This window comes from Homo sapiens, chromosome 1, assembly GCF_000001405.40.
Source record: "Homo sapiens chromosome 1, GRCh38.p14 Primary Assembly".
NCBI lineage: Eukaryota > Metazoa > Chordata > Mammalia > Primates > Hominidae > Homo > Homo sapiens.
The window spans coordinates 61,738,983-61,755,378 of NC_000001.11; the positions used below are offsets into that span (position 1 = coordinate 61,738,983).

Consider the following 16,396-nt stretch of genomic DNA (forward strand, 5'->3'; position numbering starts at 1 on the left):
AGAAGGGGCCGGGCACAGTGGCTCACGCCTGTAATCCCAGCACTTTGGGGAGGCCAAGGCAGGCAGATTACCTGAGGTCAGGAGTCTGAGACCAGCCTGGCCAACATGGTGAAACCCCGTCTCTACTAAAAATACAAAAATTAGCCAGGTGTGGTGGCAGGCGCCTGTAATCCCAGCTACTCAGGAGGCTGAGGCAGGAGAATCGCTTGACCCCGGGAGGTGGAGGTTGCAGTGAGCTGAGATCACGCCATAGCACTCCAGCCTGGAATGCGAGACTTTGTCTCAAAAAAAAAAAAAAAGAAAAGAAAAGAGTCAGCAAGCAGGGGAGAGTTTGAAGGGCCTTGAATAGCAAGAAAAGGAGTTTGGACTTGGTTTCATGGTCAACTTAAAGTTACATAGCTTTTTGAAAATAGGGGAATATGTTCACAACATCATTTAATATTAAAGTAAGAAGAGGCAGGCTGGGTGTGGTGGCTCATGCCTGTTATCCCAGCACTTTGGGTGGCCGAGGTGGGTGGATCACCTGAGGTTAGGAGTTTGAGACTAGCCTGGCCAACATGGTGAAACCCATTTCTACTAAAAATACAAAAATTAGCCAGGTGTGGTGGCGGGCGCCTGTAATCTCAGCTACTCAGGAGGCTGAGGCAGGAGAATTGCTGGAACCTGGGAGGCGGAGGTTCCAGTTGCACTCCAGGGTAGGGCCAACAACAGCGAGACTCTGTCTAAATAAATAAATAAGCCAGTCATGATGGTGCATGCCTATAGTCCCAGCTACTCGGGAGGCTGCAGTGGGAGGATCGCTTGAGCCTAGGAATTTGAGGCTGCCATGATTGCACCACTGTGCACCAGCCTGGGTGACAGAGTGAGACCTTGTCTCAAAAAAAATTAATTAATTAAATAAATACAAAATAAAATAAGAGGAGGCCAGGCATGGTGGCTCATGCCTGTAATCCCAGCACTTTGGGAGGCTGAGGCAGGAGGATGGCTTGAGGCCAGGAGTTTGAGAGTAGCTTGGGCAACATAGTGAGACCATCTCTCTACAATAAATAAATAAAGAAGAGGTGCAATAGCCAGGTGTAGTGGTGGTGCCTATAATCTCAGCTTTTCAAGAAGGATATTAAGGTGGAAGGATTGCTTGAGTCCAGGAGTTTGAGGCCAGCCTAGGTAACATAGTGAGATTCAATTTCAATTTAAAAAATAAATAAATAAAAATAAATTTAAAAAGAAGAGACCAATGTTTGCAAGGTGATTCTTTGAGATAATTGGTCTCCACCTTTCTTTTTTTTCCTATTTAATTTTTATTATAGGTTCAGAGCTACATGCACAGGTTTGTAGGCCAGGTGCAGTGGCTCACGCCTGTAATCCCAGCACTTTTGGAGGCTGAGGCGGGTGGATCACGAGGTCAGGAGTTTGAGACCAGCCTGGCCAACGTGGTGAAACCCCATGTCTACTAAAAATACAAAAAATTAGCCGGGTGTGGTGGCTGGCACCTGTAATCCCAGCTACTCAGGAGGCTGAGGCAGGAGAATGGCTTGAACAGGGAGGCAGAGGTTGCAGTGAGCTGACTGTGCCACTGCACTCCAGCCTGGGCAACAGAGCGAGACTCTGTCTCAAAACAACAACAACAACAAAAAAACCAGGTTTGTTACATAGACAAATTGTAGGCCATGGGGTTTGATATACAGATTATTTCATCACCCAGGCAATAAGTATAGTACCTGATAGGTAGTTTTTCAATCCTCTCCCTTTTCCCACTCAATCTCCAACTTTATTTTGCCCCCGACTTGGAAAGCCTTTCCTTCTCCATTTTACCTAAATTAATCTCAGACTCTGGTTAAGACCTGTTTAAGTTCTAACCCATGCTTTCAAAAAACATAATAGATCTCTTCATTTTCTGAGGTCTGGCTTCCATCTGGCAATTTGCCTGTTATTTCCCTCAGTAGTTTGTTAGTTCCTAAAAAGCAGAAACCATGCTGATATTGTGTGTCTTCTTACCATGACTAACAAGTGTTACATTTCTTTTAAAACAAGGAAGCAAACTACAAAGCACCAAGTGCATGATCTTAATTTTATTTATTTATTTATTTATTTGAGATGGAGTCTTGCTCTGTCGCCCAGGCTGGTCTTGAACCCCTGGGCTCAAGTGATCCTCCGACTTCAGCCCCACAGAGTAGCTGGGACTACAAGCTCACGGCACCACTCCGGGCTAATTGTTGTTGTTGTTGTTGTTGTTGTTTTTGAGGCGGGGTCTCTCTCTGTCACCCAGGCTGGAGTGCAGTGGCAGGATCTTGGCTCACTGCAACCTCTGCCTCCTGGGTTCAAGTGATTCTCCTGCCTCAGCCTCCTGCGTAGAGGGGACTACGCATCCACCACACCCGGCTAATTTTTGTATTTGTAGTAGAGACGGGGTTTCATCATATTGGTCAGGCTGGTCTCGAACTCCTGACCTCGGGTGATCCACCCGCCTCGGCCTTCCAAAGTACTGGGATTACAAGCGTGAGCCACCGCGCCCCGCCTGAAAGTCTTTATGTTGTAGTTGTTTTGTATCTATTCCTCATCTTCCTGGGGACAGGGATACCATTTTACACATCTTCCCACAATCAATCACAGTGTTTAACAATTACTGTATGTACTCTATGAATAAGATACCTGAAGATTGATTCTCTTTATCGTTAATGTGTGGACTGTATCAGGCAAAGTAAAACCCCTATCATCAAAAGCCTAAAGTTATTAAAGGGAGTGGAAGAAGGCTATCGGGACATATTTTTCTCGAAGGTGTGACATCACAAATAAAAGAAAATTAACGTATAGTGAAATCATCACTGTAGTTAGAGTCAAAATGCCTTGCCTGTGTTCCAAACTTTGGGCCAGTCAACCTACAGGGTGCACGGTTTCCTCATTAGTTTCTTCAGAGAGTAAATGAGACATTGCATAAGCTAGCACCTAGCATACAGCAGGCAAATACTGCTGGATTTCTTTCTTCCACTAAATGAGAAGAAAATAATGACTCCCACATTTACACGTTTTAGAATATTTTATTTTGCGTCAGCGAATAGAGAAAACAAAGGAGGGATGAGAGAACAGGAAAGGAAAGGGGCAAAAAGACAAAGTGTTAAGCGGATTGACCCAACGCTTTCATCGATATCCTCCTCAATTTCCTTGATCTTGGGTCTCGCTCTACACGCAGGCCTCCAACCACACCGGTCTGTCCGGATCTCCCTCCCCGTCAGTGGCGGCTGTCCCCACCACGCGCGGTCTGATCCGCCACCCCGCCCCCACAGCCCACTTTTCCCAGGCCCTTGGCCATCCCGCGCCCGGTAGGAATTCACCTGCACGTAAACAGCCAGGGCAACCGTCCTCCCTCCTTGGAGCCCGCCTCCCGCGGCCCCGGGCTCCCTCCCCCGCCCCCTGCGCCACCCCGGTGCCCCGCCCCGGGCGGGGAGAGTCGGGGCGAGGGGAGGGCCTGCCAGGTGAGGCGCGGTCACCCTGGGCCTCTCACTTCCGCCCAGGTGAGGCAGGGCCGACACCGAGCCCGCCCGACCCGGGCTCCCACCTGCTCCTCCAGCGCACCAGGTAAAGCGTGAGGTCCCGGCTGTGCAGTGCGCGCTCGCCCCTGGGTGTCCCCGCGCCTGGAGGCCGGCCGGGGGCAGCTCCCTCGGGGCTTCCCGGGCCTGCCTGCCCTGCCCCCGCGCTCTCCCCGCCCGCCCGCCTGGAGTGGGTGGGAGCCGGAGGTGGAGGGCGCCGCCGGGCGCTCAGAGGGGCCGCGGCGAGGATGGGGCGCCCGCGGCGTGCGTCCGCGCTGACCCGGGAGGCGGGGCGGGGGCGCCGTCCTCCTGCGTCGGGCCCGGGTGACCCCACGGTGGTCCCCGCCCCGCCGCGCAGGGCTCGCCGAGGCCGCGGGCAGGGAGGGGCGCCGCCCCGCCTCCCCAGGCCTTTCGGGCCTCGAATCTCGGCCCACTGGTATTCGGGGGTGGCACGGATCCTATTTTGCGCCCAGATCGGTGCCCCTGTTTCGCTCCCAGAGCTGGGCGGAGTCTTTCCCTCCATCGGTGGCCGTGGAAGGAGGGAACGGGGTGAGGGGACAAAGAGGAGGGGGTGCTCAGAGCCGGGCTGAGGGGGCGACTTGGGCCCGGCCGCGTCGCGGCGCCTGGTCATCCCGTAGCGGAGGTTCCCAAGCCAGCGGTCAGGCCCTGGGCTCTGCCAGCCTTGCTGCGTAGATGGGGAGGTTCTGTCGGAAAGTGCTTCCAGCCTTAGGGGAAATTCCTGGACTCCTGCTTTTAAATCAAGCTCAGGAAAGCATTTTCAGATCACTCCCACTCTCCAAAGCGCCCCAGCCGTCCCGCACGCAGGCCGAATTAAGTGAACACCCCTTCACTTGGCACTTTGTCATATTTCCAAGTGGCTCTTGTCACTTTGAATTCCAGTTGGTTGTTTACTGGCTTGCCTCTGCCATTTAGAGGGTGCCCCTTTCAGGGCCTTATTTTTCGACTGCATTTAGGGTCTGGCTATTGGTAGGTGCGCGACAAGTGTTTCTTAAAGGAAGGCAGAAGCCTTTGGAAACCCAGAAGGACAATGTCGGTTCCACTGAGGATGATACTACCACATTCTGGGCTAAATTCCTATTGGCTGCAAATTAATTTGCACACATCTATTTGAAAGGAGTGGAGGCAGGGGCAGCGGTTAAAAACTTAAATCTGTTTGCAGCATTAGAAAATGTTAGGTGAGATTGAGCCTTTTAGCTAAAGTGAGCTTTGATGTTTTTAGGGCCCCTAATGGCCTTTAAGATGTTAACAATAACAACAACAACAAAACACTCCAAATGTGTTGAATTTATTTGGGAATGAGAAATGAGCGTTATAGCCCGAGGTGCACAGGCCTGGCAAGCCATATATGCATGGAAGAGGGGAGGGTAAAAGGAAACTTTTATTGGCAAAGTAAGTGCAGATAAGCTGCGTGAAAACAGAGTTTATTGGTTTTGCAGACTGAAAGCCAGAGTTGGCCATTGTTGAAGATGCCATTACTGGGCAGGTGTTATGGAGAGCATCTTATCAGGCCTGGCAACCTGCCTCATGCCTGTTATCTCAGCTACTTAGGAGGCTTAGGCAGGAGGATCGCTTGAGGCCAAGAGTTGGAGACCAGCCTGAGCAACATGGCTGTCTTTACAGAAAAAGCTTTTTAAATAGTCAGGTGTGTCGGGAGGTTGAGGCAGGGGAATTGCTTGAGCCCAGGAGATGGAGGCTGTGGTGAGTGGTGTTTGCACCACTACACTCCAGCCTGGGTGACAGAGCAAGAACCCTGTCTCAAAAAAAAAAAAAAAAAAAAAAGGAAAAAAGATTATCTTATCTTATCTTATCTGAATTACTGCATTCCTAAAGAAAGAATTTCTTGGGTGGTTATTTTAGTTCCTTCTTGAGACCGATCTTTATCTCAGACTTGCAAGCATGAGCTTTCTCCCTCAGGCTCTCTAGTTTGTTTGGGTTTGACAAAAAGTGATTTTGACCTGGTATCTGCAACTTTCACAAAGATAATAACAAAGTTAATAAATATGGAAATACTTATGGATAGAACTTATAAAATGAGTTCTGAAGAGATTTGCCCTTACTAGTCCAGATCCTATTAGGAGTAAGAGAAAAAACACAAACTTTTTCCTCTGCTCTCACACCACTACAGTCAACACTGAGGACTTCTGTGACCAAATAAATGTGTGGGCCCATCAGTTCTGCATCAAGCAATAGCTGAGCATCTAACAGTTCGATTCTGAAACTATTTACCTGGGGATAGTGTCAGATCCCATAAGACTGCCCTCACTTCTGATGCCAATCACAAGTCCTAGATTGTTTTACCCCGGCTTCTGACTAACCACCTATAAATTGGGAATCCCATAACTCCCTCCTCTGGGTTGGTTAACTTGCTAGAGCAGCTCACGGAACTCAAGAAAACACTTATTTAGGTTTATTACTAGTTTATTATTAAGAATATTACAGAGGATACAAGAGGAAGAGATGCACAGGGTGAGGTATGAGAAGGGGCATGCCACCCTCCAGGAACCTCCATGTGTTCAGATATTGAGAAGCTCTCCCTACCCCATCTTCTTGGGCTTTTTATGGAGACTTCATTGAGTAGACATAATTGAAGCATGGGGTAGGGAAACCCAGCAATGCCTATCTGTTCAGATTTTTCTTGGCCTCTCTCTGTAGCATTCCTTCCTCCAGGGTATGGGCAGGACCCCTTCTTATGGGGGTCTTATGACCTACAATCAGACAAGGGAGATCAGATAATTTTTTTAAATATTTATTTATTTATTTATTTTGAGACAGAGTCTTGCTCCGCTGCCCAGGCTGGAGTGCAGTGGGTGATCTCAGCTCACTGCAACCTCCACTTCCCGGGTTCAAGTGATTGTCCTGCCTCAGACTCCTGAGTAGCTGGGATTACAGACATGTGCCACCATACCTGGCTAATTTTTGTATTTTTAGTAGAGACAGGGTTTTACCATATTGGCCAGGCTGGTCTCGAACTCCTGACCTCAAGTGATCCACCTGTCTTGGCCTCCCAAAGTGCTGGGATTACAGGCGTGAGTCACTGCACCTAGCCAAAATTATTTTACTTTATTTTATTTTAATTAATTAATTTATTTATTTGGAGACGGAGTCTTGCTCTGTTGCCCAGGCTGGAGTGCAATGGCGCTGTCTTGGCTCACTACAACCTCTGCCTCCCAGGGTCAAGCGCTTCTCTTGCCTCAGCTTCCCAAGTAGCTGGGATTACAGGCGCCTGCCACCACACCTGTCTAATTTTTATATTTTTAGTAGAGATGGGGTTTCACCATGCTGGCCAGGCTGGTCTCGAACTCCTGACCTCAGGCGATCCACCCGCCTTGGACTCCCAAAGTGCTGGGATTACAGGCGTGAACCACCGGGCCTGGCAATTATTTTTTTTTTTAAAAATTTTTATTCATTTATTTTATTTATTTATTTTTGAGACAGAGCCTTACTCTGTTGCCCAGGCTGAAGTGCAGTGCCGCGATCTCCACCCACTGCAAACTTCACCTCCCTGGGTTCAAGCGATTGTCCTGGCTCAGCGTCACAACCTCAGGTGTGCGCCACCACCACTGGGTAATATATATATATATATTTTGTATTTTTAGTAGAGACAGGGTTTTGCCATGTTGGCCAGGCTGGTCTCGGACTCCTGACCTCAAGAGATCTGCCCGACTTGGCCTCCCAAAGTGCCAGGATTACGGATGTGAGCCATCACGCCTGGCCTCTTTTAAAAAATTTTTAGTAGAGACTGTGTCTCGTTATATTGCTCAGGCTGGTCTCGAACTCCTGGTCCAAGCCGTCCTCCCGATTTGGCCTGTGAAAGTGTTGGGCTTACAGGCGTGAGCCACCCTTCTGGCCCAGAGAATTTCTTTACAGCCACCTTCAAGATGGAAAAGCAGGGGAAGATTAGAGTCCTGCCTTGGGGAGAAAAAGGAGCGAATGAAAGGAGGGGCAGGAGAGTGTCAGAGATATTTCTGGGGACTGCTTCTGAGACTTAAAGCACCCCAACAGTATAATAAAAGACTGTAACAAGAGTTATGGGAGTTATAAACCAGGAATCATGGATGAAAACCAATATGCAATATCACAAGGTCACATAAAATGGGTTTCCCATCAGAAAAATAGTTGTGTTTGAAGCTGAATAGAAAATTAAGCTCTATTCTGCATTTAATGAAACCGTAATAAGTTTAAGCCATACATTAATATTTCTGTAACTATAAAGCTAACATATTCATTGTAGAAAAATTGGAGAAAATTTTCAAAAAAGAAACTAAAAGTACACAGACTACTATTGAGAGATAACCACTAATAACATTAGGATGTATTTTCTTTCAGATTGCATTTTTAAAGTTAAAGAGAAAAATCTGTATATATGTTCTCATAGTGAATTCACATTTAGAACCTTGTGATTCTGAGACAATGACTCAGCATTTTCTAGTTCTTACAATTGCATTTTTACTTAACAGCATTTAATAATTATCCTTACACTGAGGAGCCAGCAGGCTGAATTTACTTGCTTTGTTAAAGTTTAACAAGAATATATTAGGTTGGGGAAGCCAAAGTGGGATTTAATTTGTTCACTTAAGACTTTGCTCCCCTTGGTGAGCCAACTTGGTAAGTTTTTTGAGAAACGGGACCAATCTACCTTGGTATTTGCATGACCATTGCTATGTTTTCTTCCTTAGGGTTTTGTGTAGATTTGGATGCCTTTTTTAAAGCCCTTATTTTAGGTTCCGGTGCAAATGGGGAGAAATTTAGTGCCTGTCAATACCCTTCCTTTTAAGTCAGTGGGATAGATCGATGCTGAAGATGTAGAGCTCACTTATTTTTTGTGTTCGTACAGCTGTCCAGCCAGTAAAGTTTGGAGACAAGGAATTGGGTCCACCTACCATATAACGCTTGACAAGTCATTTAATTCTGGTCCTCCAGAATCTGGTCCCATTTGCAAATGGTCTGCCTTACAGAGATTTGGCGAGGTTGAAAGAAAAGAATGTTCAAGAATGTGTCTTGTAATCTGTAAGCTGTTATTCTCCTGCTTTTTGTTCCTCCCTTATGTTTAATTCCGGTAAAATTATGGAGTTGTGATCTTTTTATTGGGAAGAACTCAAGTTTGTGAGTGCTCTTACTCAGATAGTTACTTTAAGAAAAGGCATAGAGACCATATGAGCTGAACTGATGAAGTCTTTCCTAAAAACACGGTGGAGGAAGAAAAAACAAAACCAAACAGGGATCTTTCTGGAAAGGCATAGATTAAAACTTTACTACAGTAAGCCACTCTCACACGTGGGCATGGGCCACTTTATATTGGGTTAGTTAGGATTGAAATGTGCTGTAAATGCACAATACACACAAGATTTTGAACAGATTTCATGTAAAAAGGAATCTAAAATATCTTATTAATTTTTATTTTTTGAGACACAGTTTCACTCTGTTGCGAAGGCTGGAGCCGCCTCCTGGGTTCAAGTGATTCTCGTGCCTCAGTCTCCCAAGTAGCTGGGATTACAGGCGTGCGCCACCACACCCTGCTAATTTTTGCATTTTTAGTAGAGACGGGGTTTCACCATGTTGCTCAGGCTGGTCTCTAACTTCTGACCTCGTGATCCACCCGCCTCGGCCTCCCAAAGTGCTGGAATTACAAGTGTGAGCCACTGATCTGAATATGTTTATTCTTAAGAGGGTTTAGTTTACCAAAGCACTTACACTGCTATGTGTATACTGCCTTAATGCCTTTTTTTTTTTTTTTTTTTTTTTTTTTGAGACGAGTCTTGCTCTTTTGCCCATGCTGGAGTGCAGTGGCTTGATCTCCGCTCACTCCAACCTCTGCCTCCCAGGTTCAAGCCATTCTCCTGCCTCAGCCTCCTGAGTTGCTAGGACTGCAGGCATGCACCACCACGTCTGGCTAATTTTTTGTATTTTTAGTACAGACGGGGTTTCACCATGTTGGCCAGGCTGGTCTCGAACTCCTGACCTCAAGTGATACGCCCGCCTCAGCCTCCCAAAGTGCTGTGATTACAGGCGTGAGCCACTGCGCCTGGCCATGTAAATGGATTAATACTCCAAATTATAGGTCCTCTCTATAACCTCCTCCCTTATACTCACTACAGTGGTGAAACATTTTATTTTTCAGTCTTCTCAGAACTAACTTACTGATTACACACTAAAATCTCTGCTACAATAATTTAATTATTAGCTTTTGCAGTGCCATGATCATGGTTCACTAGCCCTGACCCCCTGGGCACAAGGGTTCCTCCCACCTCAGCCTGGACTACAGGCACGCACCGGCACGCACCACCACGCTCAGCTAGTTTTTGTTTTTGTAGAGATGGGGTTTTGCCATGTTTTAAATCATTTTGATTGAAAAGAGATGCTAATAGTAGTTATCATTTGTTGAATGTGTACCATGTGCTAGGCCAAATGCTCTAAATTATCCTCTTTAGTGTTTGCAGTATACATATGAAGTAATTTTTTTTTTCTTTTTTTTCTCCTGAGATGGAGTTGCCCAGGCTGCAGTGCTGTGGCACCATCTTGGCTCACTGCAACCTCCATCTCCTGGGTTCAAGCAATTCTTCTGCCTCAGCCTCCCAAGTAGCTGGGATTCAGGTGCCCGCCACCACGCCCAGCTATTTTTTTTTTTTTTTTAAACAGAGTTTTGCTCTTGTTGCATTTTTATTAGAGACAGGGGTTTCACCATGTTGGCCAGGCTGGTCTCGAACTCCTGACCTCGTGATCCACCCGCCTCAGCCTCTGAAAGTGCTGGGATTGCAGGCGTGAGCCACCACACCCAGCCATGAAGTAATTTTTATTAACTCTTTTTTACAAACAAGGGGACTGAGGTGTAGGGAGATTTAAACAATTGGCCTACAGAGCGGGTCCTAGGGATAAACCCTGAGTCTCTGATTTCAAAGCTCATAGGCTATAGAATTTCCCATATTTCAATAATTGGCTATTGAATCAACTGGCAAAAAGTTGATTATTGAAGTACACATTTAGTTCTAATCCTGTTTTTGTATTAGTGACCAATAGGAAATGATCTAAATTCTCGTCAACAGGAGATTGGGTGAAGAAAGTATGTATTCCTACCATCGAATGTTACTTAGTTGTTACAGTGGCTGAGCAGGAACTGCCTATATCATCATGAATAACACCCCTCACCGCAGCCTGGTGTTTTTTTTTTTGGAGACAGGGTCTCACTCTGTTGCCCAGGCTATGGAGTGCAGTGGTGTGATCATGGCTCACTGCAGCCTAGACATCCTGGGCTCAACTGATCCTCCCACCTCAGTCTCCTGAGTAGCTGGGAGTACAGGTGTGTGCCACCACAGCTGGCTAATTTTTAAATTTTTTTGTCAAGATGGGGTCTTGCCATGTTGCCCAGGCTGGTCTCAAACTGGGGCTCAAGTGATCTGCCTGCCTTGGCCTCCCAAAGTGCTGGGATAACAGATGAATAAATCTTAAAAATGTAAAGTTGAGCTTAAAATAGCAAGTTGCTGAAGAATAAGTATACAGTATGATGTAATTTATATAAAGTTTAAAAACCTGCTGAACAGTAATATTGTAAACCAGGACAATGTGTGTTTTAAGAATTTCACATTTGAATTTTGTCTGTATTGATTGCTTGCACTTGGGAAGCTGCCTCATAGTTCAAAGAAGTTAGTGGAACCACTGTGAGATGAACATTCTCTAATGTAGGTTGTACTCTTAGAACCAAAGCAGACCAAGGTCCTGCCCTTGCTTTGACCCTTTGCACACCTTGCTTGGTTTGGTAGATGGCTTTTAGGCCTGGGTCTGTGGGCTTTCAGGGACAGGTCAGTTTCATTTCACTTTAGCTTCCATTAATAATAATTAGTGGATGTTGCTTTGACAATAGGGGCTGGTGGGCAGGGCTTCTGCCTGGTATCCCTTGGGGTTATTTTCTGGAGCTTTTTTTTTTTTTTTTTGAGATGGAGTTTCTCTATTTTTGCCCAGGCTGGAGTGCAATGGTGTGGTCTCGGCTCACCACAACCTCTGCCTCCCGGGTTCGGGTGATTCTCCTGGTACTATTACTACTGAGTAGCTGGGATTACAGGTGCCCGCGACCATGCCTGGCTAATATTTTTGTATTTTGAGTAGAGACGGGGGTTTCTCCATGTTTGTCAGGCTGGTCTTGAACTCCCAACCTCAGGTGTTCTGCCTGCCTCGGCCTCCCAAAGTGCTGGGATACAAGCATGAGCCACCACGCCCGACCCATTTTTCGGCGCTTGTAATGAAGTTCCAGGACGTAGTGTGGTAGAAGAGGGAGATAAGTGAATGTTGAGGGTCAGGTTGTAAATCTTCCCACCATTTAAAATTTGAAGTATTCTCATTTTTAAAGTAGTTATCTACTGAAAGGTCACTAACAGTTGAACCCCTTCCCCATGGAATTAACTCTCTCCAATGGCATCTATGTTTCCTTGCTTTGTTTTTACCTTTTTTCATAGTATCCCTTTCCCTTTTCTATTTTATTTTACTTTTTTTTTTTTTTTTGAGATGGAGTCTCACACTCTGTTGCCCAGGCTGGAGTGCAGTGGTGCGATCTCCACTCACTGCAATGTCTGCCTCATGGATTCAAGTGATTCTCCTGCCTCAGCCTCCCGAATAGCTGGGATTACAGGTGTGCACAATGACACCTGGCTAATTTTTGTATTTTTAGTGGAGACGGGGTTTCACAATGTTGGCCAGGCTGGTCTCAAACTCCTGGCCTCAAGTGATCCGTCTCCTTGGCCTCCCAAAGTGCTGGGAGTACAGGCGTGAGCCACCACGCCTGATTCCTGATATGACCATAATTTCTGGGGAGAAGCTGGGAGTGTACAGTCGGCAGTGCGGGTAAAATTGAATAGCATTTTTGAGGTGGAAACTAATCATTAGTGAATAGTATGAATGCCCAGGTCTTTTTAGTGGGGACTGGCTACATGATCAGAGACCTCTAAGTGTGAAAATTGCCCAGATTTTTTTTGTCATTGTTGCTCGTTGGAGAAAACTGCTACCAACCAGAATACAGAAGCCTACCATAGACTGGGTGCATTGTCTCTAGCCTGTAATCCCAGCACTTTGGGAGGCCAAGGCAGGCAGATCATCTGAGGACAGGAGTGTAAGACCAGCCTGACCAACATGGTAAAACCCTGCCTTTACTAAAAATACAAAAATTAGCCAGGTATGGTGGTGCATACCTGTAGTCTCAGCTACTAGGGAGGCTGAGGCAGGAGGATTGCTTGAACCCTGGAGGTGGAGGTTGCAGTGAGCCAAGACCGCACCACTGCACTCCAGCATGGGCAACAGAGTGAGACCCTGTCTCAAAAAAATAATAATAATAATAAAATAAAAAAGGCCGGGCGTGGTGGCTCATGCCTGTAATCCCAGCACTTTGGGAGGCCGAGGCGGGTGGATCACCTGAAGTTGGGAGTTTCAGACCAGTCTGATTAACATGGAAAAATCTTATCTCTACTAAAAATACAAAATTAGCCCAGCGTGGTGGGTCATACCTGTAATCCCAGCTACTCAGGAAGTTGAGGCAGGAGAATCGCCTGAACCCGGGAGGCAGAGGTTGTGGTGAGCCAAGATCTCTCCATTGTACTCCAGCCTGCGCAACAGGAGCAAAACATCATCTCAAAAAAAAAAAAAAAAGAAGCCTACCATATAGCAGTTTAACTTTGTTCCTACAAAAGTGGCCAAGTTATAGGAAGAGTATTGATATGCATTGGTTAACTTTGAATAGTTTAATGAGAAAATTAGCATGAGTTAACTGAATTATTCTGAAAAACTGACTCTTTTCATTTCTTTCTTTTTTTTTTTTTTTTTTTTAAGACGGAGTCTTGCTCTGTCACCCAGGCTGGAGTGCAATGGCACAATCTTGGCTCACTGCAACCTCTGCCTCCCAGGTTCAAGCGATTCTTCTGCCTCAGACTCCTGAGTAGCTGGGATTACAGGCATCTGTCACCACACCTGGCTAATTCTTGTATTTTCAGTAGAGGCGGGTTTTCACCACGTTGGCCAGGCTGGTCTCAAACTCCTGCCCTTGTGGTCCAAGGCCTCCCTTGTGCCCGCCTCGGCCTCCCGAAGTGCTGGGATTACAGGGGTGAGCCACCGCGCCTGGCCTTCATTTCTTTTTTAAAAAATTTATTTATGTTCATTGAAGCACTATTCACAAGTTTTAATTTCAGATTCTGAATTTAAAGTGGTGTCTTTCAACTTCAATTTCAACATTTCCTGAATGTTCACTGTCAGGAGGATTTAAACATTGCTTAGGCTTAAGCATATATCTGCAAACTGTCAGGATTGTTCTGGAATTTATATATGTTTCCCAAATTCCAGGGATATAGTGGTCCAAAATATAGTATTTTTATATTTAAGGTATTTAGAAAAGTCTTGTTATTTGGTAGGAACACAATGCTAGGACACCTGACTTGAATCTGCATTTGTATGGCAGCAGATGTATTTATTTGAAGTACTGGTGGAGAGCAACCATTATTCTTTGGCTAGGAAAGTTTGTTTTTCGTTTAATCAGTACCTCATAAATGCTGAGCTTTGAGGACAAAGGAATGATAATTAGACACATCCTGAGCTTTGTACTCCAAAGGAAACAATAGAAACTTAAACCTTCAATTTTTGAAAAACTTCAGAAATCATGACTATATTTACACTTGACATTGATCTTTGCACTTGATATTGATAAGCATAAATATAATTATATTTACACTTGCTCATTGATTTTTCAAACTCCCTGGTTCAATGAGCTCTGGAAAATTCCCACTGGGTAGTTATGTGTGGTCTAATTGTGACCTTCCCAATTCACATGTGCAGTTAGAGGCTGAACACCTGTTCTTTCCCAAAGATATTGCAAGTGATCATTTTCTCCCCAAATTTCAGGTTAGATATATCATATGTCTTAGTAAATCAGTGGGGAATTACATTCTTGTGAAGTACTGGGAGCTCAAAAAGTGTTTCTCAGAATCCTTACTTTGCCTAAATTCTTGATTCTATTACATATTTTTTTTTTTTTTGAGACAGAGTCTCACTCTGTCACGGCTGGAGTGCAGTGGCACGATCTTGGCTCACTGCAACCTCCGCCTCCCGGGTTCAAGCGATTCTCCTGCCTCAGCCTCCCGAGTAGCTGGGATTACAGGTGTGCATCACCACGTCAAGCTGATTTTTGTATTTTTAGTAGAGATGGGGTTTCACCATATTGGCCAGGCTGGTCTCGAACTCCTGACCTCAGGTGATCCACCTGCCTTGGCCTCCCAAAGTGCTGAGATTACAGGCATGAGCCACTGTGCCCAGCCTATATATTTTATTTATTAAGTTTTTATCTTAATCAGATCAAGAGTTTAATAAAAAATATATAATAAATAAAATAAATATAAAATATAATTTAATTTAAAATTAAATTTCTATCTCTCTTCAAATACTCCGTTAATTGGCGTTGGCCTAGGCCTTGGGTTTTAAAAAGCCACAATATTATAATAATTTCCTTCAATCACATTCTACAGTGAACCAGATATGAAAAATTCATGGCACAAACTCTCTTGATCAATGATGGAGTGGAAGCTCCCAAGCATAATAAAGTTCTCATTCTCTGGAGGCTGTCCAACTATGAGGACAGTAGTACAATGTGGCATCTTAATTTCTAGCTGTGACCAATTGTAGGTAGCCTATCTATGACAAGTTAGACTCAGTTTCACCGTGTTTCAACAAAGTTGAAATCCCCCTCCATAAGCCCTGTTGGTTTCTTAACTAAACAGGTCAATTTGAATGACCAAAGATTTCCTATGACCATACCCTGAGTGAGACATAGGTTCCATTTAGCCTGAGTGCTGTTTGATGGATAGTGAGTTGTAGAGTTACTTGTGTTTCTTCCTTTTCTTGTCATATACTCTTTTTTGTCATAGCTAACTGCACCCTCAATTTCCTGGGCTTGGGTAATTCTCCCACCTCAGCCTCCCAAGCAACTGGAACTACAGCTTTGCCACCATGCCTGGCTAATTTTTTGCATGTTTTTTTTTTTTTTTTTTTTTTGTAGATACAGGGTTCTGCTATGTTGCCCAGGCTGGTCTCAAACTCCTGGGCTCAAGCAATCCTCCCACTTGGGCCTTTCAAAGTCCTGGAATTACAGGCATGAGCCAACGTGCCTGGCCTTATATACTCGTAAAGCTTTAATCTTCTTCCCTAGACATTTCTTTTCACCATGGAATTGTAATTTTCCAGGCCTGCTTTGTGGACATAGTTTAACCTTACTAATTATGAGTCAGAGACCTGAGTTTCATGATGAGCACCTGTAGTCCCAGCGACTCAAGAGGCTGAAGCAGGAAGATCTCTTGAGCCCAGGAGTTCAAATACAGCCTGGGCAACATAATGAGACCCTGTTTCTGAAAAAATAGAATAAAATAAGAGGTAGACGGCCAACCAATTTCTACCCTTAATCCTTACCAAGGGATACTCCAGAATGGTCTCCAAAATGTGCAAGATGATCCATTAAGAGGTTAGGAAGATGGGCAGGGTGCAGTGGCTCACGCCTGTAATCCCTGGGGGATTACACTTTGGGAGGCCGAGGCGGGTTGGTCACGAGGTCAGGAGTTCAAGACCAGCCTGGCTGAGATGGTGAAACCCCGTCTCTACTAAAAATACAAAAAAAATTAGCCGGGCGTAGTGGCGGGTGCCTGTAGTCCCAGCTACTCGGGAGGCTGAGGCAGGAGAATGGTGTGAACCCAGGAGGTGGAGCTTACAGTGAACCGAGATGGCGCCACTGCACTCCAGCCTGGGCGACAGAGCAAGACTCTGTCTCAAAAAAAAAAAAAAAGAGTTTAGGAAAATGACAATAAAACTTTACCATTTTTACCTTACCCTCATAAAGT

General features: G+C 45.4%; 1 protein-coding gene and 1 long non-coding RNA gene across 23 annotated transcripts in view, besides 1 other annotated feature; one reads left to right on the forward strand and one right to left on the reverse strand.

Moving 5' to 3' along the window:
• Positions 1 to 3,015: 3,015 nt before the first annotated feature.
• On the reverse strand, positions 3,016 to 3,802 carry PATJ-DT (PATJ divergent transcript). Its single transcript, NR_185910.1, has one exon. It is a non-coding gene; the product is annotated as a PATJ divergent transcript (long non-coding RNA).
• Positions 3,250 to 3,959: a silencer, noted in NCBI's record as "silent region_944". NCBI's record gives its function as "represses an Ori minimal core promoter by ATAC-STARR-seq in GM12878 lymphoblastoid cells {active_cell/tissue: GM12878}" and the evidence as "EXISTENCE:reporter gene assay evidence [ECO:0000049][PMID:35858748]".
• Positions 3,498 to 16,396, forward strand: part of PATJ (PATJ crumbs cell polarity complex component) — a 421,436-nt gene continuing 408,537 nt past the window's right edge. For 21 of the 22 annotated variants that reach the window (XR_007061928.1, XM_011540462.4, XM_011540467.4 and 18 more), the window contains exon 1: positions 3,498 to 3,573. The gene's annotated coding sequence lies outside the window, so the exon portion shown is untranslated. Of the gene's footprint in view, positions 3,574 to 8,116; positions 8,151 to 16,396 lie in introns of those variants that run through there. The other variant, XM_011540463.3, reaches the window with a different exon arrangement.